The sequence below is a fragment of the Homo sapiens genome, chromosome 10, assembly GCF_000001405.40.
Source record: "Homo sapiens chromosome 10, GRCh38.p14 Primary Assembly".
Taxonomy (NCBI): domain Eukaryota; kingdom Metazoa; phylum Chordata; class Mammalia; order Primates; family Hominidae; genus Homo; species Homo sapiens.
In genome coordinates this window covers 131,668,708-131,693,751 of record NC_000010.11, presented here as the reverse complement: position 1 = coordinate 131,693,751, position 25,044 = coordinate 131,668,708, and the positions used below count along the sequence as shown (strand labels likewise).

The window sequence follows — 25,044 nt, the reverse complement described above, 5'->3', positions numbered from 1 at the left end:
TCCACAGAACCCGCCACAGGGACTGCGTGGGAAGTGTGTGGTGTAGCTGAGGAAGGGGACAGGGAACCCAGCTCAGGATTTGGCCAAGTGATTCTTCCCCAAGCTCCTGGCTCTGCCTTAACTGCCTAGAAGTACATCAGGACTGTAACAAGTTCATCATGGGAGAGGTTTGACCACCAGGTAATATTCCCTGTGGGCAGGGCTCCTGGGTCCATTTTGATGGGTCTGTGGTTAGAGTTGACCTGGCAGCTTTGAGAAGGAGAGACTTGTCTGTGCATGAACAAGAGGAAGGACTGATGTTGAAGTGGTGGTGCCATTCCCATCAGCTGTTCTATTCCACAGGGCCCAGTAGACCCACGGCCCTGTGTTAGGTCTGGCCAGCTGGCACGGTCACCTACTTCTGACTTTTTCCAAGACTGCAGCCAAAGGATGGTATCTCTGAAGGCAAAAATATGGCTTGCTGAAAATGTCCATCTTCAGTGAATGAGATCTGATTTTTTTCCTAGGAAGATTTTTGAAATCTAGATGGAACCTTCTCCAAACAGGCAGAAACAGTCCAGCCTCCAGGTAATCTGCTGAGTGATGCTGTCATTCCGGAGCACAGGCGAGCTTGTGGGCACTGCACCTGTGACGTGTCATCCCCAGCACAAGAATGCCATCACCCTGAACAGCACTGGAGAAACTGAAGCTGCGGGGAGATGCTGTGGGAGGGAGCAGGTGCCAGGGCAGCCCTCCTGTGTTGGGGCTTTCTGTGAAGCAGGAAAGGGCTGTGTTTACGACGTGGTGGAGGGAGAGCTGCTGTGGGCAGGTAAGGCCTCCACCCAGGAAGTCAGGAAGATCATGGATGGAAAGGGCTGTCCCAACGGCCCCCAATTCCCACGCACAGCTTGAAAGCTAGGCTGCACCAGTGCCCTTGGAGATGCTGCAGCTTGTTCCTGGAAGTCAGCAGTCCTGCCCAGGAAATGTGTGTGTGCACAGCTCACCCCCAAAGACCACGGCTCTGCGGGAGGACCCTGGGGGTCGAGGTCTCCACCTCCTAAGGGCAGTGGTGAGACACACACCTGTTCATGTTGGCTGACATCGAGTGTGTTACCTCTGAGCACTAGCGTGTCTCATGGGCGATATCCACTTCCTGCATTCTTAAAGATGAGTTGGTTGGCTGCAGTGTTGAAGTTTCCCAAGGTTTTAGATCGGAGAGAAAGCAGTTATGACCCAGCAAGTACTAATGTTAATAATAGTCTCCACGGAGTGCTGTGGCAGCAGGAGCCGCAGTGAGAGGCAACCCAGCAGTGAAGGAAGAGGGAGCCACTTGGGGAACCGTGTGGTTCAGAGATGCCCGGGTAGAAAAGGACCAGAAAAGGGCTCCCTGGGCTACACGGCCGGAGCTCCCTGGCAACCCTGGAGTGGAAGGGCAGGAACCAGCCTGCAGTGGACGGAGGCGCCAGGAGGTGGTGAGAAGTGAAAACGAGAACCTGGGCCACTTTCCAGGCTCTGCTGCTTGGGGAGGAGAGAAGCTCGAGAGCTCCAGGTTCACAGAGGATGCCTTCAGTACGGGAGAAGCTCCAGCAAGTTTGCTTGTGAACGGAAAAGAGCCGTGAGCTACGGGGTGATGAAAACACAGAATCAGCAGAGAGTTTTGGGCTCCTGAGGTCCTCGGAGCTAAGGAGAGGGGCTCAGGACAGGACGGAAGGTCAGCTTTGGCCAGGGAGCAGACTCTGCCCTCCCGAGGAGCAGGGACAGGGGTGGCCCAGGCATGTGGAAGTGCAGGTCGCGGTGGAGGAGAGGAAAGTAATACGGAAGGAGCTCTTGTCCAGAGGCCGCTGTTGGCCATTTGTAGTTTTGGGGTAATTTTTGCAGAGGAGGGGGAGTGGGTCGTGCAGGAGCTGGAGAGAGTGGTGTGACTGGAAGCAGCCCCAGCAGGTGCAGGAGACACACCCGCAGGGTGTGGCCCAGGGGGGTCTGCAGAGGGGCAGCTGCCGGGGCAGCAACCTGGGGGGAACAGTTCTCTCAACCTGGGCTGGGTCCCGGGAGCAGGGGTTGGGGGGGGGCATCTGCAGGGCGGGGCCACCATGGAGATAGGGGAGGGTGGCAGGAAAGTACCCCAGTGGTGAGCTGGCGGTCTCGGTGTGCTAGGAAGGAGGAGGGGGAGGGAGGGGCCGTGGATGCTGGAAGATGGAGGGAGGGGCAGAGAAGCTGGGGCGCAGAGGCTGCAGTGTGGCAGTGAGTGAAGAAGAGGGGCTCACGGACAGAGGGTGGTGCAGGCTTACCACATCCGAAGGTGCCCTTCCTGGCATCCTAGGCAGTAGACAGCACTGCTCAGGCCCACTGCACATCAGCATCATCCAGGAGGTTTGGAAAATCGCATGCTGGAGCCTGTTCTGAACCAATTAAATTAAATTAGAGCCTCGTGTGCCCAGGCATTGGCATCATTAAAGCTCCCCAGGTAATTTCAGTGGGTGCCCAAGGCCCTGGTCCACTGCCCGGTAAGAATGCTGGGCCTCAGGGGAGAGCGAGTGAGGACATTTGAGATGAGGAGTCAAGCAACTGAGAGACGAGGGCAGGGGTTCTCAAATTCTGGCATCAGAATCACCTGAAGGGCAGACGCAGGGCCCCACCCCCAGGGCACCCTCAGTGGGGCGTGGGATCCTGCATTTCTGGAGGGCTCTGGGTGAGGCAGGTTCTGCCGCTCTGGGGACTCCATATGGAGAACGGTCCCTGGCCTGGGTTGTTGCTTCTCTTGTCCACATGGATGTTTGAGTGCGCACGAGGGGACAGACCTGGATCGTGGCACCCCAGTCCCCAGTGAGTGAGGTGGCATGATGAGGTCAGCATTGGCAGCAGAGAGCGGGGCCCAGGACACGGCTGGGTGGCAGGCACTGATGGGGGTCTCAGGGAGAGGAAAGCAGACCCCGCCTACAGCCTCCGGGCCCTCATGGTCGGCTGTCGGAGTCCGGCTGTCCCTGCTGGCTAGCCCTCATCTGGCAGGATTCGCCCATGAATCTGCAGCCAACTTAACAACTTAAGCCCTTTGTGATAAACGCCTCTAAAATCTCTTTTACTCTCCTTGGAAGTGAGCTGAATATATCAGAATCAGATCAGAAGGATAGGGTCATGCGGGCACACAGAAGGCCTGTGGCGTTTGCATCAGCAACGTGCTAACGCCTGCCCCTCCATCTGCATCAACTGCTGATGAAATTGGCTGAAAATCAGTGTTCTACCGTTACAGGAAAAATAAACCAACTCGTGTGTGTGTGTTGAGTGTGAGAGGGAGTGTGCGAGTGTGTGAGTGCGTGTGAATGTGTGTTGAGAGTGTGTGTGTGAGAGTGTGAGAGTGAGTGTGAGAGTGAGTGTGTGAGTGTGTGAATGTGAGTGTGAGTGTGTGAGCATGAGTGTGAGTGTAAGAGTGTGTGAGAGAGAGTATATGTGAGAGTGTGTGTGATTGGAAGAGGGCATCGCAGTTTTATTGGAAAGTAAATCATCAAAGGTTGTGATGGCTTTAGAACACAGCAATTGGACCCTGTCATTGGGCTCACGCTCACAGAGCAGAGCAGGCCCCCGCCTCTGACGTGGCTGTGAGCAGATCCACCCCTACATGACAGTTCCCGTGGGCTGGCCCAGGACCTGCTGGGCCTGGAGCAGCTACTGCTGCAAGAAGAAATCAAGGAGTGATGGCCACTTGGTGACCCAGGGAGTCAAAGGCCAAACTCACTCTCTCAATAAGAAGCAACTGCAGGAGCATTTGAATTTGAAGTGGCCAAACCTCCACGTGTGGGCTACACACCAGGGTCCAGCTCCTGGAGGTGATTTCCAGAGGTGGTCCTGAGCTGAGAGCCAGGGTCAGGGGGCAGCAGGAAGGAAAGGGGCCCAAGACAGGCACGCATGTGACTGGGATGACAACGTGCGTGACCACGCAAGGGCCCAGGATGGCGGCATGTGTGACTGACTGTGCGGGGCTGAGCTGGGGCTGGGAGCTGTCGGCCACTCAGTGAGGCTGGGCGTGGAGTCAGGGGCTCGCTGGGAGGCAGCAGGACAGTGGAGAACTTTGCTCAAGGGAGCAGTGGGCTTAGACTCCCACTGCAGGCCGGCCCCACTGGCTACAGCCGAGAAGGAGACGGACGGTGCTCGTGCAGAGGCGCGGGCTGTTGGGGAGTCCAGCGGTGGGGTGAGGAAATCGCCAGGTTCCAGGTGTCTTCCGGCAGGAGTCCGTGGGGCCTGGTGCCTATTTAGATAGTTTGCTAATGGGGACATCAGGGATGACCTGGGTTTTCTAGTTGGCCAGCTGAGCGAGGACATCGTCACTGAAGGAAGAGTGGGCAGCACGAAACACATGTGTAGAGAGGACGCCAGGTGTGCTGGGGCCATGCTGGGCCCGAGACCATCTGAGCACAGATGTCCACCAGGCTGTCGGACCCAGGGCTTTGGTGCTCAGGAAAGCAGCTGCTGCTGGAGAAGCTCGGGCCTTCTGCGGATGGACGTTGAAGCCGTAGGTGCCTGGGAGCCTCTGTGGGCTCCTGGTGGCGCTGGGGAGCCACGCTGATGGGTGGCAGGCAGGCCTCGGAGGTGGGAACGCCTTGTGAATAGGCACTTTGCCTGGGAGGTGGGGGCAGGTGGGCAGAGCCCTGCTGGAGAATGAGGGTGAGGGCCAGTGGGCCCTGCCAGGGGCAGAGAGCACCACGCTGAGAACTGTGGGGGCCACGGGGACGTGTGTCAAAGCCCAATGTGCATGGGGGAGGCAGAGCTTGAGCTGAGGCGGGGGGTGGACAGGGACGCTGAAATGGGGCAGGGATGGGTTCGCAGGCATGTGGGGTGTGGGTGGGAGCTGGAGGCACGACCCGCAGGATGTGGTGGGGTGGGGGTGGGGGATTAGCAAATGCAGGGCTTCCTAGTCCAGCTCAGTGCATGGAATAAGCCTCTTTCAAAAGGGAAGGAAGTGTCTTTATTGGGTGTGTGGAGAAAGTAGGAACAGGACACCGCGGACTCATCCCCTCATCACAGGAGGCTTCTCACAGGCTCTGCCCCTGTCCTTACAACAGAAGGGCTGTGTGTGCACATGATGTGTGTCAGTGGGGTGTGTGCATGGATGTATGTGTGCATGTTTGTATAGATGTGTGACAGTATGTGTGTGTTCACGTGTGTATATGTGTGAGTGTGCATTGGTGTCAGTAGGAATGTGTGTATACATATGTGTACATGTGTGGCATGTATGTGTACATATGTGGTGCATGTGTTCATGTGTATTTGTGCCAGTAGGAATGTGTGTATACATATGTGTACATGTGTGATGTGTATGTGTATATATGTGGTGCATGTGTGCATGTGTGTTTGTCTATGTGTGTGGTCAATGGGGTGTGGATGTGTGTGTGTTTGTATATTTGTGCATGAGTGGTGTGTGTGCATGCATGTGTTTTTGTGTAGGTGTGTGGTTAATGGGGTTGCATGTGTGTGTGCATGCATGTGTGTGTTTTGTGTGTGAGTGGTGTGTGCACTGTATATTTGTGCATGAGTGGTGTGTGCATGTATGTGTGTGTTTGTGTATGTGTGAGGTTAATGGGATTGCATGTGTTTGCATGCATGCACGCATGTGTGTTTTTGTGTGTGTGTTTGTGAGTGGCATGTACGTGTGTGTATTTTTGTGTGCATATTTGTGCAGGAGTAAGTGGTGTGTGTGCATGCATGTGTGTTTTTGTGTATGTGTGAGGTCAATGAGGTTGCCTGTATGTGTGCATGCGTGCATGTGTGTTTTTGTGTGTATGTGAGTGGCGTGTGCATGTGTGAGCGTGTATTTTTGTGTGCATATTTGTGCATGAGTGAGTGGTGTGTGTGCATGTGTGTGTGTTTTTGTGTGTGAGGTTAATGGGGTTGCGTGTGTGTGCATGCATGCAAGTGTTTTTGTGTGTATGTTTGTGTGTGAGTGGTGTGTGCAGGTGTGAGTGTATTTTTGTGTGCATATTTGCGTGTGAGTGTGTGAATCTTTGTGTGGGTGGTGTGTGTGTATGTGTATGCATTTGTGTGTATGCGTGTGCCTGTGTGTGGCATGCGCATGTGTGGGTGTGTGTTTTTGTGTGCGTATTTGTGTGTGCATATCTTTGTGTGTGAGTGCTGTGTGTGTTAGTGTAGGCATTCGTGTGTATGTGAGTGTGCACCTGTGTGTGCTGGCGGGGAGGTGTTATGTGTCCTTCCTTCCTTCGAAGCTCAGCTGAGGTGTCAGAGTGAATGTCATCAGCTTGACGCCATTCCATAAATCAGAGCCCTTCTCACTGAGACCTGATCATCAGTTCAAAATAGCTTCAGCCAAAACACTCATTACTTATTAGCCTAACCTTGAATCCTGTTTTTGTTTCTGAAGAAATTAAAAAAAAAATCTGTGAATAAAATAATCTGTGACTACATACAGGCTGAAACCGGCTAAAACCTACTTCATTTTGTTTTCCAATTTCAAGAAATGTAGAGAACGGTATAGACTGGGTAAGACATAGCCCCCCACGGAGCGTGGAATTCCCGAGAAGGCCTGAAAGAAGAGGGTCCCCGTGGGGGGTGGGATTAGCTCCAGAGCTGCCCAGGGAAGAGAGGCCGCTGTGTGGCTGCACATGTGTGAAGCTGAGACCGAGGGTCCAGCCGCTCTGAGACAGGAGGTGATGGAGCAGCAGCAGGGGCCTGGGGAGGGTGGACGGGGCGCCAGGGGAGGGGAGGGGAAGGAAGCTGGAAGAAACTTCCAGGGGTCCCTGCAGAGGCACCCCTACTCACCTGCCTGGGAGGTGCAGATAAAGCTGAGCGCCCTGTCCGAGCCCAGCCTGGAGGCCAGGACTGGCTCCTCGGTGACTGGCAGAGCCACACAGGTGAGAGAACAGGAGGGAGGGTGGCTGGAGGTGGAGGGCTGCCGGGCTGGGCTGTGGGGACTGTGATTAACCAGGGAGCAGACCGGCTCCCAGGACGATGGTGTGCTGCCAGAGAAATTCACCAAAATGACCAACTTGCTAAATTTGTTCAATTGAACCAAAAAACAACTTCTAAGGATTATTTGAAGACCATATTCCTTTCCGCTCAATTTAACTGGCATTTTCTTGGTGAGTAGAGCGGTTTTGTCTTCTTTAACTACATTCAGGTACTTCCTCTTCCCAAATGTAGTGATGAGAATGTGTCCATAAGGAAGCAAAAGTACTTAGTGACAGTTTTCAACAAATGGACCATTTCTTACAATTCTTTTAAGAAGCATATATTTATTGAATATATTCAGGAACTGGGGGCGGAGAGAGGAGGGAGAAATAGGGAGAGGGAGAGAGAGAGAGACAGAGAGAGAGAGAGAATGTGTGTACTTCTTCAAGTATGCAAAGTTATCTGGGTTAATTCAGTGAATTGGTCATTAAGCAGATTGATTTTTTTGTGTCCTCTCTCTCTGTCTCTTTTTCTTTTCTTTTCTTTTTCTTTTTCTTTTTTTTTTTTTGAGACGGAGTTTTGCTCTTGTTGCCCAGGCTGGAGTGCAACCGTGCCATATAGGCTCACCGCAACCTCTGCCTCCGGGGTTCAAGCGATTCTCCTGCCTCAGCCTCCCAAGTAGCTGGGATTACAGGTGCCTGCCACCACTCCCAGCTAATTTTTTTTTTTTTTTTTTTTTTTTAGTAGAGACAGGGTTTTGCCATGTTGGTCAGGCTGGTCTTGAACTCCTGACCTCAGGTGATCCACTCACCTTGGCCTCCCAAAGTGCTGGGATTACATGCATGAGCTGCCATGCCCGGCCTCTCTCTCTTTCTTTCCAAGTTTCAGGAATTGGCATAGCAGTGGTTCCAGTGAGGATCTGTGGGGCGTGGGCACATAACAGCAAACACTACACTTACTGTGCCAAGCACATCATGGACACGGCACGTGACCTTGGCCAATCCCGTGAGTCATTCCGCAGAGCAGGTGCCTCAGTCACCCCTTCTCCCTGACACAAACTCAGACTGGGCACTGCCACTGGCTGCTCCCTACTCATGTCTCGGGGGACGCTTCGTGGGCAGTGAGGGCACAGAGGCCTGGCAGATTGGAGAAGGCAGTGGGGCAGAGGGCAGGTGGCGTGGCTGAAAGTGGAGAGTGCCTGGCAGGAATGAGAGCAGGGGCTGGAGGGAGAGAAGGTGCTCGTCCCCAGAGCAGGTGGGATGTCAGACTGTGAATGATTCAGGGTTCTGCCAAGGCAGTGGGTCCTGATGTGCTTTGGGGACAGAGTCCTTGGAGCTGAGGCACGTGCTGCCAGACTTGGGCAGGACAGCCCCGCTGGCAGGTGCCCGGGCTTTCAGCAGGGGAGGGGAGAGGGAAGGCAGGAGCAGGGTCTGAGCCAGCCCTCTCTGAGCCCTTTCCCTTTGACCTTTCATGATTTTACATCTCAGGGACCATTCTAGCAGGGTCACCTAAATGTAGACCCCTGTCTTCCGTGTGCAGTTAATTTTACTCAAATGTCTAAGAACAGCCATCTTGCCAGGACTGTGGTGGCCAGCAGGCAGGGTCACAGGGGATCCACTGTGGGGAAGCCGTCCCTGGCTACTGCTCTCATGAGCTGTCCCTTTTCAAGGCCGTTTTAGTGACTGAGTCATGAGGGGAGCGGAGGCCCCCTACCTCCTGCCTGTGCTGTGGGTTTGTAGGATTTCACCTGACCCCAGACGGAAGGGCCTCTCACAAGGCCCACTGGTGTCTAATGACAGCCCTTCTGCGTCTGTGATAACACAAAGCTGTGATAACACAAACGTGCTCCTGTCTGTCTGGTATTCAGCTCAGGTTAAGTGTCCCTGATCGCATTACTTTATTTTTTTATTTTTTGAGACGGTGTCTAGCTTTGTTGCCCAGGCTGGAGTGCAGGGGCACAATCTCAGCTCACTGCAACCTCTGCTTCCTGATTGCATTACTTTAATTTTCGTGTGAATAATGGCTGGGTGGTTTCTAAGGGCAGACATTTCAAAATCTATGGAGAATAATTTCAGTCTTCAATGAGACTCCATTCTGCATGTGGATCTGGTGGGGGGATTTGGAGTAATTGAATTCAATATGAACACCTATGTGGAAGCCGATGTGGGTGAGGGCTTCCTTTGCCTGAAGGTAGGGGTCTCTGTGGCTGGTCTCTGTGGGGTGCGTCTGACGTTTGCGGGGTTTTTGGGTTCTTGACTCTTGAGTTCTCTCTGGACTTGAGGGTTTCTCGGTCAGGTTTGGCTCTGGGTGCCAGGTATTTGAAAGTCTTGTCTGGGTATCTTGGCAGCTCCTGCAATATGCACCTTATACTCTGAAAAGGCCCAAATTTAGATTTAGAATGTCCAACTGTTCTTTTTTTTCCATTTAAAAATGTTATTTCTTAATTGTCAAATAATAATTGTGCATATTCATGGGTTACATAGTGGTGCTTCAGTATAACTTCTGTATCATGATCAGAGCAGGGTAATTAGCACCTCCTGCAGCTCAAACACCTATGATTTCTTCATGTCGGTCACATTCAATATCCTCCTTCCAGCGACTTGAACTCCGCACCGTGTCCCTGTCACCAGCAGCCATCCCACAGGGCCACGGGACACCAGGACCTCTTCCTCCCAGCCAGAAGCAATGGTGTGTCCTCTAACGAAGCTCTCCCTGCGAAGCAGCAGTTCCTGGGATGAAAGGAGCTCACGCCGGAGGAGGACGTTGATCTGAAGGCCGCAGGTATTTCTGGGCTGCTGGACTCAGTCTGAGCAGGTGGGGTAGTGCGGCTGACTTGTCTTGGGTGGTCTTGCTCAGCAAGTGCCTCTGTGGAATGCTGCTCAGAGACCCCCTCTCTAGGTATAAATTGGCCTCCTCCATGTAGGATGGAGCTCCTGCTCAGGTGTCTCCATAGAGCTTCAGAGAGCCACCTGCAGCTCCCAGCACACGGCAGCATTGCAGCATGGGGCACTCATGCATACGCTTTGTTCTGATCCCACCTCCTACTCCTGGCTCTACAGGATTCCTGCTGCCATCCCCAACAGCCTGCCTTCGCGTTCCCTGGTACTGGATACGGGGAGCTGGGAGCCTCAGGCATGAGAAGCCCTTGCCGTCGGGGCGGGTCTGTCCCGGGAAGGCAGGTCGTGTCTGCCATAGACAGTGCCTCCTGCGGTGTCCCCATCTCCGTGGAAGGGGACCTGGGTGACCAACTCTGTGGCTGGACCAACTGCTCCACAACAGGGGGAGGGGAACCAGTTTCACTGCTCAGCCAGGGCCCACGTTTGCCCTGAATCTGCTCTTGGCCGGGTGCGGGGACCCCAGGGGCCCCCGGCAAGGCGCAGTCTGGAGATGTCCGTGAAAAGAGGCAGTTTCCGTGGGAACAGGGTGGTCAGGAGCCCAAGGAAGCCTCAGCATGCCCTGAGCTGGGGACAGAGGAAAGAGTGGTGGACGCGGGGCTAGGGACCTTGGACCTTGAGCTGGCCATGCACAGACCCAGGTAAGATCATGCTCCAGGGCTCCTGTTCAAGGTGCAGACGGACACTGCTGCTCTGACCTCTGATGTGAGGGTTCACATGTGAAATACGTTGAGTTCTTTGAAACGAAGGTGCTGAATACATTTGCTTACTGTTGATCAGTCCACGTTTTCTACTCAAACCTTAGTGAAATCGTGCTTTCCACCACAGTACTTGCTTAGAAAACAAAAAGGAAGCCTTGAGTGGCTGGAGACAGTCACAGCACCTCACATTTATTGATTGCTCACTGTGGGCCAGGCACCGTGCAAGACCCTTGCAGGTGTGACTTATTAAACCTCACAATCCCTACGAAACAGACACCATTCTTATCCCCATAAGGCTTCGCCCTGGGCCTCTGACATCGACTTGCCCATCTCTGTCCATGAGGCCACTGTTTATGGCGGAAACCATCGCTCACACCTGCCCTCCACCATGATTCTGCAACAGCCCCTTGAATCCGCCCCCACCCTCTGCTTCTCTGTCCTTTCATATGACCGCCTCCAGGCCACACTCTCCTTCCTGGGAGATGCGTCCTTCCTCCCGGATTTCCTGAGTGCCCGGGGGGTTTCTCCCCTCCGAGTGTCCCCAGCACATCACTCTCCTGCGGGGCTTACTGACTCCCGCGTTGCTCTCTAGCTCTGCCCACGGGGACCTCTCTTCTGGGCAGGCAGAAGGCAGGTAATCTCTTTTGTGTAATAACAACACACGTCTAGGTCATGGGTGTCGTGGATAATCCATTTGCATAAAGAAACAAAAATACTGTTCTGCTTGGTTGGATTGACGGTTTAAGTGTGTACAGTTTTGGCTGGGCCCCCGTTCCCCAGCACCGGCTACCCCGCCATGTGCATGGATCACTGCTACAACCACGGCTCCTGCAGAGGCAGATAAATCCTTGGCCAAACTCTTTCCCCTTTCCTCCACCTTATTTCTAGAAGGAGTGGCCCACACTGGCCATTCACAAGGAAGGCAGAGCCGCTGGGCTTCCATGGTGAGCCTGGCTTCTCCATCTTACTTCTAGAAGGAACTTCACATGCTGGCCTCAATATCTTTATTTTTTTTAATTTACTTTTTATTATTATTTTTGAGACAGAGTCTCACTCTATCGCCCAGGCTGGAATGCAGCGGCTCAATCTCGGCTCACTGCAACCTGTTTCCTGGGTTTAAGAAGTTCTTGTTCCTCAGCCTCCCAGGTAGCTGGGATTACAGGTGTGTGTCACCATGGCTGGCTGATTTTTGTACTTTTAGTAGAGATGGGGTTTTGCCATGTTGACCAGGCTGGTTTTGAACTCCTGACCTCAGGCGATCCACCTGCTTCAGCCTCCCAAAGTGCTGGGATTACAGGCGTGAAAGACTGTGCCTGGCAGCCCTCAATATCTTGCAGGCGACGCAAGGCCTGTCTGCAAATGTGAGCCCCACAGCAGAGTCCTTCCCGCCCACGGAGGCCCGGAGTAGCCCTGCATCTTGCTTTGGCCGTTGAGGGTGAGCAAAGGCACTGGGTTCTAATTCTGTGTGGCACTGGGGGCAGTGCCTCCCTCTGCCACAGTGATGGGCGGTTTCAGACAGAGGCTGCTGGGTCTTTCCGGTTCTGGAGTCAGGACAGTGACATGGAGCAAAGCCCAGACCCTCCCAGAACGAGCTCGGCACACACCTGCTGATTTCATTCCCCAGATGTGGGGCATTGTTTGTCTCTGTGCCATAACAGCCTATTCGAACTGTCCCAAATTAGCTGTATAGCCTGCTTTACTCTAAACTAGTAGTCTCTAATTGAACATCCAGTTGATCCTTCAGGGAAGGAAGAGGTCACAGGTTCATTCAGTAGAACTCAGAGCCACCATGGCTGTTCCTGGAGGAGGGAAGAGGGAACCTGGGTTTTCAGTCCCCACCTTCCCCAGGCCCCAGGCGTCAGTGGTTGGAGCGATTGTTCAAGACAGACAGGTGGAGGAGGATTTGCAGCAAGCTCAGCTGCGTGGCAGACTCCCCCGAAAGGGCCAGGCAGACACTGCCTGCTCCAAGGGAGGAAGGAGAGGGAGGCTCTGCACTAAGTGGGTGGGGGGTGTGAGCTGCAGGGGAGTCTCAGCAGGACCCACACCAGCTCCACCTCCACTTCTGCAGGAGACCTCCCCCGAGGGATTATGCTGGGGTGTGGGCTGGGCAGGGCATGCAGGGAGCGCTGGCCATCTGAGCTCTGAGCCACGCCCCTGGACACTAAGGCTTCCTCCATGTACCCTCAAACTCTGCTTGGGTCCAACTGTGCTGAATGACCACAAAGCAGGGCTACCGCACACATTCAGCCTCCTCCAGCAAGGGACACAGAGGCAGGAGGTCCAGGCCTGCTGCACGAGCCCACCACATTCCTTCCTTCCCCTGATAGGATGCTCAGGGTTGGGGCTGGGAATATCAGCTCCACACAGAGCCAGGCAGCCTGTCCTCAATGAGATGTTTCCTCGCCGATGAGTCACTTAAAATGGGGTGACTTGAATCAAGTGTTCTATGGGTAGAGAAAAAAACCCTCGTTTCTGCCCATAACTGTGAATCCATGATCTGAGTTAGGTTTTGTGTTTCTGACCAAAACCGTGAATCCGTGATCTGAGTTGGGTTTTGTGTTTCTGCCCATAACTGTGAATCTGTGATCTGAGTTGGGTTTTGTTTGAGCCACTGGCTTCAGGGGGACATTTTCGCACCTGGAGAGTTTCATGAGCAGAAGTTTTCTCATGAAATCCGCACAGTCCCAGAGGGTGTTACAGGAGGCTGCTCCTTCCAAATGACCCTGAAAGCTAAAAGCAGTAAAGAAAGCCAACTAGACATGGCACTCGAATGTCCACTCACCCACAGCAGTGTGGGTGGCCTTTTCCTTTGGGGTTAAAAGGAGGCAGAGCAAGGTCTCCATGGCTTCCCTTCACTCTGAGTGAAGAAAGTAGGGAGTGAAGTCCACTCAGAGGAGGAATCATCTGATTTCATTTTATTTTTTTAAAGAAAGGAGCACTGGGCTGTGGGTCGAGCCTTGTCTTTGTCTTTGAGGCTTGCTTGGTGGATTTCCAGAAAGACCCCAAGCAGCTGCAGAACCGAGTCTACGTGATCTGCTGGCTTGCTGCTTCACCCGGCAGAGTCCTCCTGTCTCCATGTCTGTGCTAAGCTTTGTGCCTTCAGAGGGAGGGCCAAGGCCAGTCCATACCTGCACAAAGTGTGTAAAGACACATCAGAGGCCTTTTATAGGTGGGCCAGGCTGGGAAGGCGGAGGCAACAGATACAGTCCCATATGCAAAGACAGGTGACATGCAGGAGCACCTCAGGTCTGCTGACAGCATCTTGGAAAGAGCCTGTGGCGTGACCATCAGGTGAGAAAACGGGGAGGAGGTGCTCTGAGGCCTGCAGATGCAGCACATGCCAGAAGCCCCTGCAATCGCCTAAGAAGAGCAGAGCCCCTCAACCTTTCACTTGCAACCAAGGTACCTGGGCATCTTGCCAAAATGCAGAGTCCCATTCTTCACATCCTAAATCTTGCTATTAAGTAAGGCAGATTTCATTTACATCAAATCAAATTGCAAATTTGGTTTCTCTGTGTCCTGGCCGCAGAGCCATGCCTGACTTGGGTGACCACTCTGGACAGTACGGGGATGTTTTGGTCATGGGAGAAAGTTGTGCAGATAGTGGGGCTCTGGCTTGAAGTAAGACAGTGTGTGCAGAGTTGCCATGTCAACTGCAATACCATCTTGTAACTCAAGTATCATAAGAGGGTTTGGATGTAGCTTCATTAAGAGTCAGACCATGGAGGTATGGGAGAAAATTAAAGCAGCTGTTAATTTAATGTGAGTCCATATTCTTGGAGAACTCATTGAAATCAGGACTTCTAATTAATCTCGTCTGTCCCATTGTTTGCTTGAGTAAATGACCACAGTGTAGCAGCGATTGTAATATGGTGCCCTTTCCTGGTTCATGCCTATTGGATCCTGTGCTTTGAGTCTGGAACCTAGAGGAGCTTTTGTTGCCTGCCCGAGTCCATGCAGGGCTGAGTCTAAACCCTGCTCAGACGTGTCCATGCTCCCCCTCTCACTTCCACTCTGTTCCCAGCCTGCCTCTCCTAATCTATGGCAAATCTTTGAGGCTGTTCAGTCTGCTTTCAACTTCTCTCTTCTCAAATCCATCCTCCCCACAGTTGCTCGAAAATTGAAAATTAGTTGTCATCAGACTAACTTTATGATGTACATAATGGACAATGTGATAAAGCAGGAAACAGAAAAACAACTCGTACTGGATGGGAGAAAACCGTCACATTTGCCAGCAATTGGATACCCAGGGAAGCTCAGGAGGATTAAGTGAAAATCGACTGGAGCCACCCTCCTCAACAAAGTTCAGGAAGTTGGCCAGATTGTGCTTAAAATAGGGCATTTTCCTCTAGTGGCAATAGGCAACTAGAAAATGGACAGGACCCAACTGTGGTGACTGCCTGGAGCCGAGGGACACGGCAGGGAGAATGCCCCCATGCCGCTCATTCTCCTGGACTCTGCAGCCAACAGGCTTCTCCGTCTCTGGGGGCAACTCTCTCGGTTCAGGTTTCCTGCTGCTGGGCTGGAGAGGCTTCATCCCAGCCCAAAGGGCCATCCCACCCCTCACCCGAGCCCCCACACATGGGAGCTTTGGTGAGGGGCAATTGGACCATCTCAGTAGCTGCTGCCAGTGGAAGCCACAAACAAACACAGACCTGATTCCAACAGCACCTGCCAGTGAGTTCCCACCAAAGGCAAGATGGCTTCTGCCTCCCAAGTGCTCCTACCTCCCGAGTGCTCCTGCCTCCTAAGTGCTCCTGCTGGCAGCCACACCGTACCCTCTGCCTCCCGCTTCAAGCCCTCCAGTGGCCTGAGTTTAGACCTCCAAGCCTGTGTCAGGCTGGGCTGTGCCCTGAACTGTGTCCCGGCGGCCATTCCCCACCCACACCCAACCACTGCCCACGGCGGCCTGTGCGGGGGGCGCCATCTACCAGGGAGCCGCGCCGATGCTGGAGCAGGCCAGAGGGGCTGGAGAGCTGACACCCCAGGGAGCAGCCTCACAGACGCTGGGGCGGGTGGCTCCGAGGAGCGCTCTGCCTGGTCTCAGGGTCCCCAGTGCACTGCAACCCCGTGGCCCCACTCAGAGCCCCTCCGTGGACTCCCTTCCTCACCCTGTCTCACTGCGCCACTCTCCCGGGGGATCCTGACAGACCCCCTCCCAGGTTACTCACATGCCCTCAACTCCTTGTCTTCAGGTTAGCTTCTGGGTGACCCTTCCTGAGGTGGATGTTTCTCGAAGCGTTTTAGCTTCCAAGCCCCACTATGCAGAGTGGGCTCGGCAAATGCCTTCCTGCAAACACTAGGCCATCGGCTCCTCCATGCCCCAGCCTCAGGGAGTCATTAGATTGTCAGGGCTGAGTCAGTGCCCAAGGTCACACAGCAATTAACTAGAGGCCCAGACTAGAACCAATGTCTGACTCGGACACCCTAAGGCTGACTTTTGAATAGGTGGACCCGGAGCCTCGGAGCTGAGGGGAGGAGTCAGGCACAGAGGATGAGAGACCTGAGACAGCAGGCTGTGCTTCCTGATTTGACACTCCTCTGATTCCATGTTGGCTCTGGGCTCCTTAAAACAAGGCCAGTCCTGCAGGTGGGCGGGATGTGTGGTGGGGACCAGAGCCTCTCCAGCCGGAAGTCAGAGGCCCAGGGTTTTGGAAGGACTCCAGGTCTTTCCTTGCATCTGGAATTAAAACCTTCCCCGGCTGAGGCGCGTAGATCACCTGAGGTCGGGAGTTCGAGACCAGCCTGACCAACATGGAGAAACCCCGTCACTACTAAAAATACAAAAAATTAGCTGGGTGTGGTGGCCGCGTGCCTGTAATCCCAGCTACTCGGGAGGCTGAGGCAGCAGAATCGCTTGAACCTGGGAGGCAGAGGTTGTGGTGAGCCGCGATTGCACCATTACACTCCAGCCTGGGCAATAAGAGCGAAACTCCGTCTCAGAAAAAAACAAAACAAAACAAAACAAAACCGTCCACCTGGGGAAGCTGTGTCTATGCCACTGAGTGAGCACAGTCCTGCTGGGAACCTGGGCCCCTCCCTGGTTGCCTTCAGATGCCCCCGGGTTAGCTCTGGGAGCCCAGGCTGCTCTCAAAAACGGGGGAATTGCAGCCCAGACATGCAGGCGGGGGGCTCCTCCCTCTTCCACATTCTAGCTTGGAAACACATTCGCAACCACAGGGAGGCCATCGGCAGAGCCTGCATTTGCAGGCAGACAATGCGGAAGGAGACCCATGCTGAGCCTTTGATTAGAAAACAGAGGCCTGGGGCGGGGCCGGGGGGAGGGGGTCCTCAGACCGTCTCCCGGGGCCACTTCCACATTCCTCCTGGCAGTTCCCGGGCAGTATCAATATCTTGCGTTTATGTTGCAGATGGAAGTATCGCACCATCTTTACTTTAGAGAGAAGACATTTGAAACAGTTGCCTTTCGACTGGAACCAGCTAGGCACTTGATCCAGGGTCCCCTTTGGTGTGGCTGCAGGTGCTTTCCTTCTGACATCTGGAGCAACAGCTAGAAAATTAAATGACTTGTGCGCCTAATTGCTTTGTTCTTTTAAACCTATTAGGTTGGTGCAAATGTAATTGCGGTTTTTGACGTTACTTTCAATGGCAAAACCACAATTACTTTCGCACCAACCTATTTGGGCTTTGGAGCTATTTTAGCCACCTCCCAAACCTGCTGGCATCATTAATAAATCCCCTTATTCACGTGACCATAATTCACATCCTCCTTCTCACACTTGTTTTTCTGGCGTGCTGGGAAGGGAGAGGGAAGCATGGGGTGGAGACGCCACAAGGGCATGGAGAGCCCAGGGTGGAGATGCCGAGATGGCAGAGGCACCCGCTGAGGGCTTCGTGGGCTGCGGTTGCTGCCTGGGAGACCTCCAGTCATAGAATGAGCTAAATGATTCTTGAAGTTCGGTTATTGCATTTTAATGACTTAATATCTTTGTTTAGCCACAGAGCTCTCCGGACTGGGGATGGCTGAGACACAGCCTGGGCTGGACTGAACAGCTTCCAGAGGAGAACGGACAGGTGCCACGTGGTCAGGGAAGCCCCCACGGAGTCCGACGTGGCGGTGACTGCGGATGCCCCACGGTGAGCCCGAGTCCAAGGGAGCAAAGAAGGAGAGGGCGTGTTTGGCTGCGTGAAAACAGTAGGAACGTTCTGAAATCACGGAATCCTTATGAGAAGAACTCGTCATCCAATACCCAACAGGAGCTGCTCCTGCCCCGGTCTTCACAACGCGAGGGCTCCATCCTCCGTGATCCTTGATAGCTCAGCTCTAGGATCTTCACAACGAGAGGGCTCCGTCCTCTGTGGTCCTTGATAGCTCAGCTCTAGGGCCGCGCACATTCTTGGTAGAGTGGGACGTGTCTGCTGTTTTTCTAAAAGCTATTTTTTAAAGGCCTCTGCAACACACAACATACGTTCTTTTAAACCGCAGTGAAAACTTGAATGTAAAAATGGGCCTCACGGGAATCTTTTCAATATTTTACATTTCTTCGGATACTTTTCAAAGCCCCTCCATTTCTCCACCTCCCCTTTCTCATCTGGTCTCAGCCGGCACAGTGTGGCACGGAGGTGGACCGATTTCCTCAGGACACCACAGCCAAAGCTCGGAAAACCAGGTTTCCTGAGTTTCAGTTCAGCCATCCACGACTGTGGTGACAGGCATCGTGTCTTTCTCTTTAAGAAAAAAAGAAAATTGTATATAAATCACTGCTTTCAGGTAAAGGATTTTTAAAAAGCTTGCAATACCTGCAGTCATTTTTATCTGAAATCAGAAAGATGTGAAATTTGTGAGCTGATACGTAAATGTGCATCTGAAAAGCCCTCGCGCACAAGATGACAGGGTTGACTTCTGGCTTTGGTGTCCCCAGGCCTGAGCATAGGCAGTCCTGTGGCTGCCTGGTGGCCGTCACGCCCCATGAGCTGGGGACGCCGGCATGATTCCTTCTCTCCCGGTGGCCCCTGGCTGCCCTGGCTGCTGCCCTTGGGGACCTGGCCTTCTAGCTGTGCCCGTACTGTCTTCCCCAACTCCTGCCGCTTAGGTGGGGACAGTGGGGCGAGTGGCTGGTCCCTCTTGACGCTGTCCTATTGCCTGAATTTACTGTGTGAAATAATCGCTTTTGAGTCCATTTTGAAATGTCAAGGAATGAGAAAAGCCTTGAATATTTATAAATGTTGGGACCCACTTGCAGGATCTCTTAAAGGGGAAAGACGTCAGATGCGGAGGTGCGGAAGGAGACTGCCTTGTGCTTCTTTAAATAGAGAAGGTGCTGGCAGCTGTAGTGGCAGTTTTGGGGCTTCCAGGGAGCACTTTTCCTGGTGCCTGCTAAATGCTAGTCTAGTCCTGCACATGAGCGTGAGGCGGCAAGGCACAGCCCTTGACCTTCTTTCCATGCCTCCTCCCTCTCACTCGCTCTAACTCTCCAATTGCTTTAAAATATTTAGAAGGAATATGCTATATTATTTAAAAGCTAGATTGGCTCACTGACCTAGAGAGCTCAGCCTAGTTGGCAGAGAAGCCCCACCGAGGCACAGGCATGATGTGGCAGGGGGCTGGGAGGCACTTGACTTAGGAAGCAGGAGAGGAAAGGGGTGGCCACAGAAACTGAATTCTTGGTTGAGGAAGATGACATTGTTTGGGAGAAACTAGTTCTCAGAATATGCAGCATTCAGATATTAGAGATATAACTTGCATTTTTTTTCCTGAATAATTGGTCAGTGAAGAAAGCTGGGACAGAGGAGGTTAGGAGCTGTGCAGGCTTGGGGGGCCTTCAGGAGGGAGAACCGGTGACAGCAGGCAGCCTCACTAGGCTTGTCCTCTGTGCCAGGCATGCTCCATGCACTCCCTTGTTGATCTGTGACGAGGGGCCACAGAGCGGGGAGACGGGCACCCAAAGCTGCAGCTCATGTGTGGTGGAGCCAGGACAAAGCCTAGGTCACTGTCTCCACAGGGGGATCCCTGGGTGGGCATCGGTGCGGCTCACCAACTCTTGCTGGCACCGCACCTCCAGGCCACGGCAGCATGACATTCCCTGTCCCTGAAAATGTGAGGGGTGACCACGTGACTTGCTTTGCCAATGAAATTGGTGAGAAGTGACCTGGTGGAAACTTGAAGAGCTAGTTTCTGACTTGCTACTTCCTCTTCCCACAGCTCAGCAGGGATGAAGTTGTGAGGATGGTGCCTTCCTCAGGGTGGGACCCCAGTGGGGATGAGAATCAGCAGGGCCCTAGGCCCCAGCAGTGGCTTTCGCATGATTGAGAAGTAAGCCTTTCTTTGTTTTAAGCCCCTAGGATTCAGGGAGATGCTTGTCAAGGCAGCATAACCCAGTTTTCCCTGACTGATACAACCCCTAACCTTACACCATGAATTAGAAATACATGTCTGAAGCATAAGAGGCTTAGACATCATTGGATTCAACCCCCGATTTAATAGCTGAGAAAACACAAATGTCCATAATCTTGGCCAACATGCTTGTCTGTGATTGGAGCTGTGACAATGGAACCCACGTCCCTTTGGGAGGGGTCTAAGTTTTGGAGACCTCAGTCTGGCCAGTACTTCCCTCACCACCTCAACAGCCTTGGCCTTTCCTCTCATTTTGTGCCCCTAGAGGAACCCCTACCCTCCACGCCCGGCCGTCCATCCATCAGCTATGGACAGCAGCTCTTCTGCTGCCCGGAATGTACCTGCAGAAATGTGGACAGTGGTGACCTGGGCAAGCAGAGCTCGGGGTCAGGGGTGCTCCCCTCAGCACCCAACTTAGAGAGGGGAGAGAGGGAGGGGCTCAAGCAGTGATGTGGAACTCTCCAGGACCATGCAAGGTGGGATGCCCAGTCAACAGGCGGTTGGCAACAGAGTGTTTGGGGATCTTCTGTTTACCACACCTGATGCTTGAACCCTCTCTGCCTTCACCCCTAGCCAGCCCAATGGTGTTGCACTGGATGTTGCCAGGTGGTCTTATGGATTCAAATTCTTTCTCAGGTTGAGAAGAGATGCTCTTAGTAACAGAGCTTCATGATGTTGGCTCTTTCTGGGAAACAATTCTTGAGAGGGGAGAGAGAAATTCCATGCAGGCCCGCCACAAAGCATGGGGGTGTAAGGGAGTGGGGGACAGAGGTGAGGGAGAGCTGGGCACTGTGCAAAGGCCTCTCCAAGATGTGGGTTGATATGGGGTGAGGGGCTCTAGGGCAGCCAGTGTTTTGCAGAGTGTGTTGGTGGGGGCTGCAGAATAGACCCCACCTCACAGAAAGGCTGGGAGTTCCTTCTTCCCACCACAGCGCAGACCCATCAGAGCTCCAGCTTCCAGACCAACTGAGGGGCCCAGGCACCACTTTGGAAACTGCTCTGCTAGGAAGAGGCAGCGTCGTGAGTGATGTCTAGTTTAAGTCCATGTTAATTAGAGAATATATAATTGTGATTGTGATTAACCATGGTATGCTATTCCTCGTGCTTATTCTGCTTGGGGTTTGTTGAGATTCTTACATCTGTGTTTGTATTTTAAATTTTAATTTGGGAAAACTTTTGGCCATTATTTCTTCAAATACATTTTATGTCCTCTCTGTGACTTCAAGTATCTGTGTACTCGATACACTCAACCTCTTTTTAATTTTTTTCGTTTTCTTATGTCTATTTTCTCTCTGCGATTCATTGTAGATCGTTTTAATTGCATTTTCCTCATGATCTTTTCATCTGCCATATCTAGTTTGTTATTAATCCCACTTATTATGTATTTTATGTCAGATTTTTTTTGAAATTTCCACTTCATATGTTCCATTTACCTCCTCATTATGTTCACACTTTCATTTATATCCTCAGACATATTTGTAATATTTATCATTGCTCTTTTCAGATCCTAAATGGCTATTTTTATCACTCTTGTAATTTTGGGATCTGCTTCTATTGTTTTATTTTTCTCCTAGTTATGGGTCATATTTTCCTGTTACTTCACATGGCTGGTGATTTTTGATTGGGTGCTAAACATTGTTTTTCATCTTTGAGTGCTGATTCTGTTGGATTCCTTTAAAGAGTGTAGGACTTTGCTCTGGACTGCAATTACTTATTGAACCATTCGGCCTCCTTGAGGCAGGCACCTAGGATTTGTTAGTGTAGCCCTTCTAGGATGAATTTAGCCCCATTTCTAAGGTCTGACCCTTCTTAGGATTGTACCCAACACCCCATGTCTCATGAGGTCTCTCCATTCTCTCTGATGGAAGTACTGAGTGCTCTCTCTGTGTGGGCCCTGAGTGTCATTGGACCTGCCACTTTGTAGGGGGTCTTTCTGCGGCCTTATTGAGCCTGACCCATGCATTGCAGTTCACTCCACAGCCAAGGACTCATGGGGCCCCCTGAGGTTCTCCAGACCCCTCTCTGCAGACTTCTCCCCTCTCTGGCATCCTACCCTGCACACCCTCATTGCCTTGGCCTCTTCCAGAGAAAAGCATGGGCTTGGAGCTGGGCCTGTCCCTCCACTAGTTTCTGGGAACTGCCTCTAGGCTGCAAGCTGGAAAAAGGGAGGGCTCAGCTCTTTGGTTTCTCCACTCTCCTGAATCACAGTTACCTGCTACCTGTTGTCTAATATTTGAAAACAGCTATTTCATATATTTTGTTTATTTCATGAGGAGACCAATTCCCACAGCACTTAACCCTTCATGAATGTATAAGAAGCCAAGTGGGTATAAGGTTTTTGTTATTTAGTTTATCCTTAAAATAACTTTCTTTTTAGGCCTGTCTTGTCAGTCCATTTACTCATCTTAAAGAACAAGAATACAGTGTGAAGGGGACCTGCCTCCACTCTGCCTCTCTCGGCTCTGGGCTGTGATTCTCTGCACAGACCACGTTGCATGTGGCCATTTGCCTATCTGCTTCCCTTGTTGGGTGGTGATGCTCTTGGAGAATGGGAGCCAGAACTTGTCATCCTGGGACCACACAGCTAACCATGACCTGGCCCGTAGTAGCAGTGAGTATGCATGTGTGTGTCTGTGTGTGCACATGTGTAGAAGTACATGATAGACATGTGGGTGCTTGTTTAAAAGCAACCCCAGCCCAAGGCAGGGACTGAGGAAGAGCAGATCCTCCCATTTCCATGCAGCCCCTTCCCTCCCCCATGGGTGCCTCAGCTCAATTCCCAGCTGTGTGCCAAACAGCAGAATGTGTGCCTGCAAACTCTCTGCCCCTTTTCCCTTCTTCAGCAAACAAGTCCTCTTAAAGGAGGAGATTAGATTCACTCCAGTAACACGAAGGGCTTCATTGGAGGATCTGGCCAGCCTGGCAAGGAAGACGCTAAGTTAAGTTTTGGGGGATGGTGCCATGACCTATATAGGGAGTCCTCTGGCTCTGCTGCTGGGACTGTGCTGCCCAGGAGGCTGTAAGCATCGACAGGGAGGATTAGAAGCATGACCTCCACCTGGATTTGCCTCCCTGCAGTCACAGAGCAGAGTGGAGAGTGGAGCTTCAGTGGCCCTAAAATGTTCACCTGATGAGCTCATAAACCCATGTACCTCATGAGCTCATAAACCCATGGTGTCCTCCTGCGGTGCTTCCTGGGTTCCTTGGGTGGGGGCTGCTGATCATCAGCTTCTAGGCCTCGTCCCCATCCCCAAGGTGGGGTTAGAGGGAGCAAACTCGCTTCCCTCAAGGTCAGAAGGCACAGCTCTGCTGTGTGCCACATCTCAGGGGAGAATGGGGTGGGGGGCTGTGGTGCCTGGGAATGAGCTTGCAAAGCAGAGGGCAGTCGTGAGCTCTGATGTGGTCCCTCAGGAAGCCTGTGGAGTCAGCACTGAGTGTGCTGGCTCAGCACTACCTGGCTGAGCTGTTTGCGGCAGGCTCACAGAGAGCAGCAGCCACCACACTGGGCATCCTGTAAGGGCAGCTCACTCGCTCCCAGATAATGAGGAAGAGGCTGAGGCCCAGAGGGAGGCCACAATTTGCACAGTCTTAGGGGAAAAACCAAACACCAAATCCATAGTCGTGCTTCAGGTTCCTGGGTGAAGGAAGGTGAGAATTTAGAGAAGCTGTCAAGGCCTGCCTGGTTATTAGGCAAAAAGCATCACATTCTACATTAAGATGGAGATGAGAACTTTCATCTGTCCATCCATCCATCCATCCATCCATCCACTCATCCATTCACTCACCCATCCCATCATTCATCCATTCATCCATCCATCCATCCATCCATCCATCCATCCTTCCTTCCATCCATCCATTCACTCACCCATCCCATCACCTATCCATCCATCCATCCATCCTTCCATCCATCCATCATGCATCCATCCACTCATCCATTCACTCACCCATCCCATCATCCAGCCATCCGTCAATCCATCCATCCATCCATCCATCCATCCATCCATCCATCCATCCATCCAATCATGCACTCCTTGATTTCCTTCACATACTTATCAAATACCTGCTATGGACCAGGTGCTATTGTAGGACCAGATAGGTATCAAGCAAGAGGTAAACAAGACAGACAAGTTTCCTGCCTTCCCAAGTTTCCACTGAATTTTATCTTCTCATAGGAAAAGCAAAACAAAGCACCAACAGCCACCATCACTGTTATGGAATAAATGTGTCCCACAAAACACATATTGAATCCCTGATCCCCAGTGTGATGGTATTTGGAGATGGGGCCTTTGGGAGGTGATTGGGGTTAGATGAGCTCATGAGGGAGGGGCCCTAACCATGGGACTGGGCTTCTTATGAAAAGAGACACCAAAGCATTCTCTGTCTCTTTTTCTCTCCCCCCTCTCTCTCTTTCTCCACCCCCCGCCTTGCTCTCCCTCTCTCTCCCTTGCCTCCCTCATGCACACAGAGCAAGGTCTGGGAGCACATGGTGAGAAGGTGGCTGCCTGCAACCAAGAGTAGAACCTGCCTCTTCCAGAACTGTGAGAAATAAACTTCTGTCATTTAAGCCTCTAGTCTATCGTATTTTGGTGGTAGTCCGAGCTGACTAATGCAACCACCAACAGCAACTAGGACACAACATGAAGGATTTTTATTTCCTAGAGCAAAAAGCAGCCCAGGCGGGTAAACACGTTTGTTGACATGGATGAATGTGCATCTCAGTTTCAAATTCGGTTTCAAAGAGCATCAAAGAGATAAACCCACAGCTTCTGTCTGATTAGCAAGCTTTTAAAGAAGCAATTTGCTTACATGGAAGCGTGGTCTGTGTCTTTCACAGAATGGCACGAAGCTCCTGTGGTCCCCTGTGCTGCGGCCACTGGGTCTTCAGGGAAAGTCCCTGAGCCTCATCTCAGACCCTGTTCGACTTTCATTGATCTCTAAATGGTGGATGTTTTCTTGCTTAATGTCTTCATAGAGGAGTGATTTATCAGTGAGGAGAAAGGGGTGATCTCCAAGAGCTCTTTGATTAAGTGAACTCTGGAAGCCAAACACGATGACCTGCCAGTGTCTTGATGCCATGAGCCGATGGCCAGCAAAGAGCTGTCAGGAGCCCCCTAGCTTCTCAGCAGATTGGGATTTCAGGTTTCGGTTCCAGGGCTAGGAAAGAGGTCCCAGGGCTCATCTGGCTCAACATCTCATTTTAGCCATGAGGAAATCATGGGAG

General features: G+C 52.3%; 11 annotated features.

The window, feature by feature from the left end:
* Positions 3,835 to 4,497: an enhancer, noted in NCBI's record as "H3K27ac-H3K4me1 hESC enhancer chr10:133521591-133522253 (GRCh37/hg19 assembly coordinates)". NCBI's record gives its function as "activates a minimal SCP1, AML or CMV promoter by ChIP-STARR-seq in primed H9 embryonic stem cells {active_cell/tissue: H9 hESC(primed)}" and the evidence as "EXISTENCE:reporter gene assay evidence [ECO:0000049][PMID:30033119]".
* Positions 4,498 to 5,162: an enhancer, noted in NCBI's record as "H3K27ac-H3K4me1 hESC enhancer chr10:133520926-133521590 (GRCh37/hg19 assembly coordinates)". NCBI's record gives its function as "activates a minimal SCP1, AML or CMV promoter by ChIP-STARR-seq in primed H9 embryonic stem cells {active_cell/tissue: H9 hESC(primed)}" and the evidence as "EXISTENCE:reporter gene assay evidence [ECO:0000049][PMID:30033119]".
* Positions 7,602 to 8,101: an enhancer, noted in NCBI's record as "H3K4me1 hESC enhancer chr10:133517987-133518486 (GRCh37/hg19 assembly coordinates)". NCBI's record gives its function as "activates a minimal SCP1, AML or CMV promoter by ChIP-STARR-seq in primed H9 embryonic stem cells {active_cell/tissue: H9 hESC(primed)}" and the evidence as "EXISTENCE:reporter gene assay evidence [ECO:0000049][PMID:30033119]".
* Positions 8,102 to 8,603: an enhancer, noted in NCBI's record as "H3K4me1 hESC enhancer chr10:133517485-133517986 (GRCh37/hg19 assembly coordinates)". NCBI's record gives its function as "activates a minimal SCP1, AML or CMV promoter by ChIP-STARR-seq in primed H9 embryonic stem cells {active_cell/tissue: H9 hESC(primed)}" and the evidence as "EXISTENCE:reporter gene assay evidence [ECO:0000049][PMID:30033119]".
* Positions 11,453 to 12,249: an enhancer, noted in NCBI's record as "H3K4me1 hESC enhancer chr10:133513839-133514635 (GRCh37/hg19 assembly coordinates)". NCBI's record gives its function as "activates a minimal SCP1, AML or CMV promoter by ChIP-STARR-seq in naive H9 embryonic stem cells {active_cell/tissue: H9 hESC(naive)}" and the evidence as "EXISTENCE:reporter gene assay evidence [ECO:0000049][PMID:30033119]".
* Positions 12,250 to 13,047: an enhancer, noted in NCBI's record as "H3K4me1 hESC enhancer chr10:133513041-133513838 (GRCh37/hg19 assembly coordinates)". NCBI's record gives its function as "activates a minimal SCP1, AML or CMV promoter by ChIP-STARR-seq in naive H9 embryonic stem cells {active_cell/tissue: H9 hESC(naive)}" and the evidence as "EXISTENCE:reporter gene assay evidence [ECO:0000049][PMID:30033119]".
* Positions 14,867 to 15,487: an enhancer, noted in NCBI's record as "H3K27ac-H3K4me1 hESC enhancer chr10:133510601-133511221 (GRCh37/hg19 assembly coordinates)". NCBI's record gives its function as "activates a minimal SCP1, AML or CMV promoter by ChIP-STARR-seq in naive H9 embryonic stem cells {active_cell/tissue: H9 hESC(naive)}" and the evidence as "EXISTENCE:reporter gene assay evidence [ECO:0000049][PMID:30033119]".
* Positions 15,488 to 16,110: an enhancer, noted in NCBI's record as "H3K27ac-H3K4me1 hESC enhancer chr10:133509978-133510600 (GRCh37/hg19 assembly coordinates)". NCBI's record gives its function as "activates a minimal SCP1, AML or CMV promoter by ChIP-STARR-seq in naive H9 embryonic stem cells {active_cell/tissue: H9 hESC(naive)}" and the evidence as "EXISTENCE:reporter gene assay evidence [ECO:0000049][PMID:30033119]".
* Positions 16,111 to 16,732: an enhancer, noted in NCBI's record as "NANOG-H3K27ac-H3K4me1 hESC enhancer chr10:133509356-133509977 (GRCh37/hg19 assembly coordinates)". NCBI's record gives its function as "activates a minimal SCP1, AML or CMV promoter by ChIP-STARR-seq in naive H9 embryonic stem cells {active_cell/tissue: H9 hESC(naive)}" and the evidence as "EXISTENCE:reporter gene assay evidence [ECO:0000049][PMID:30033119]".
* Positions 24,301 to 24,350: an enhancer, noted in NCBI's record as "active region_4218". NCBI's record gives its function as "activates an Ori minimal core promoter by ATAC-STARR-seq in GM12878 lymphoblastoid cells {active_cell/tissue: GM12878}" and the evidence as "EXISTENCE:reporter gene assay evidence [ECO:0000049][PMID:35858748]".
* Positions 24,731 to 24,780: a silencer, noted in NCBI's record as "silent region_2945". NCBI's record gives its function as "represses an Ori minimal core promoter by ATAC-STARR-seq in GM12878 lymphoblastoid cells {active_cell/tissue: GM12878}" and the evidence as "EXISTENCE:reporter gene assay evidence [ECO:0000049][PMID:35858748]".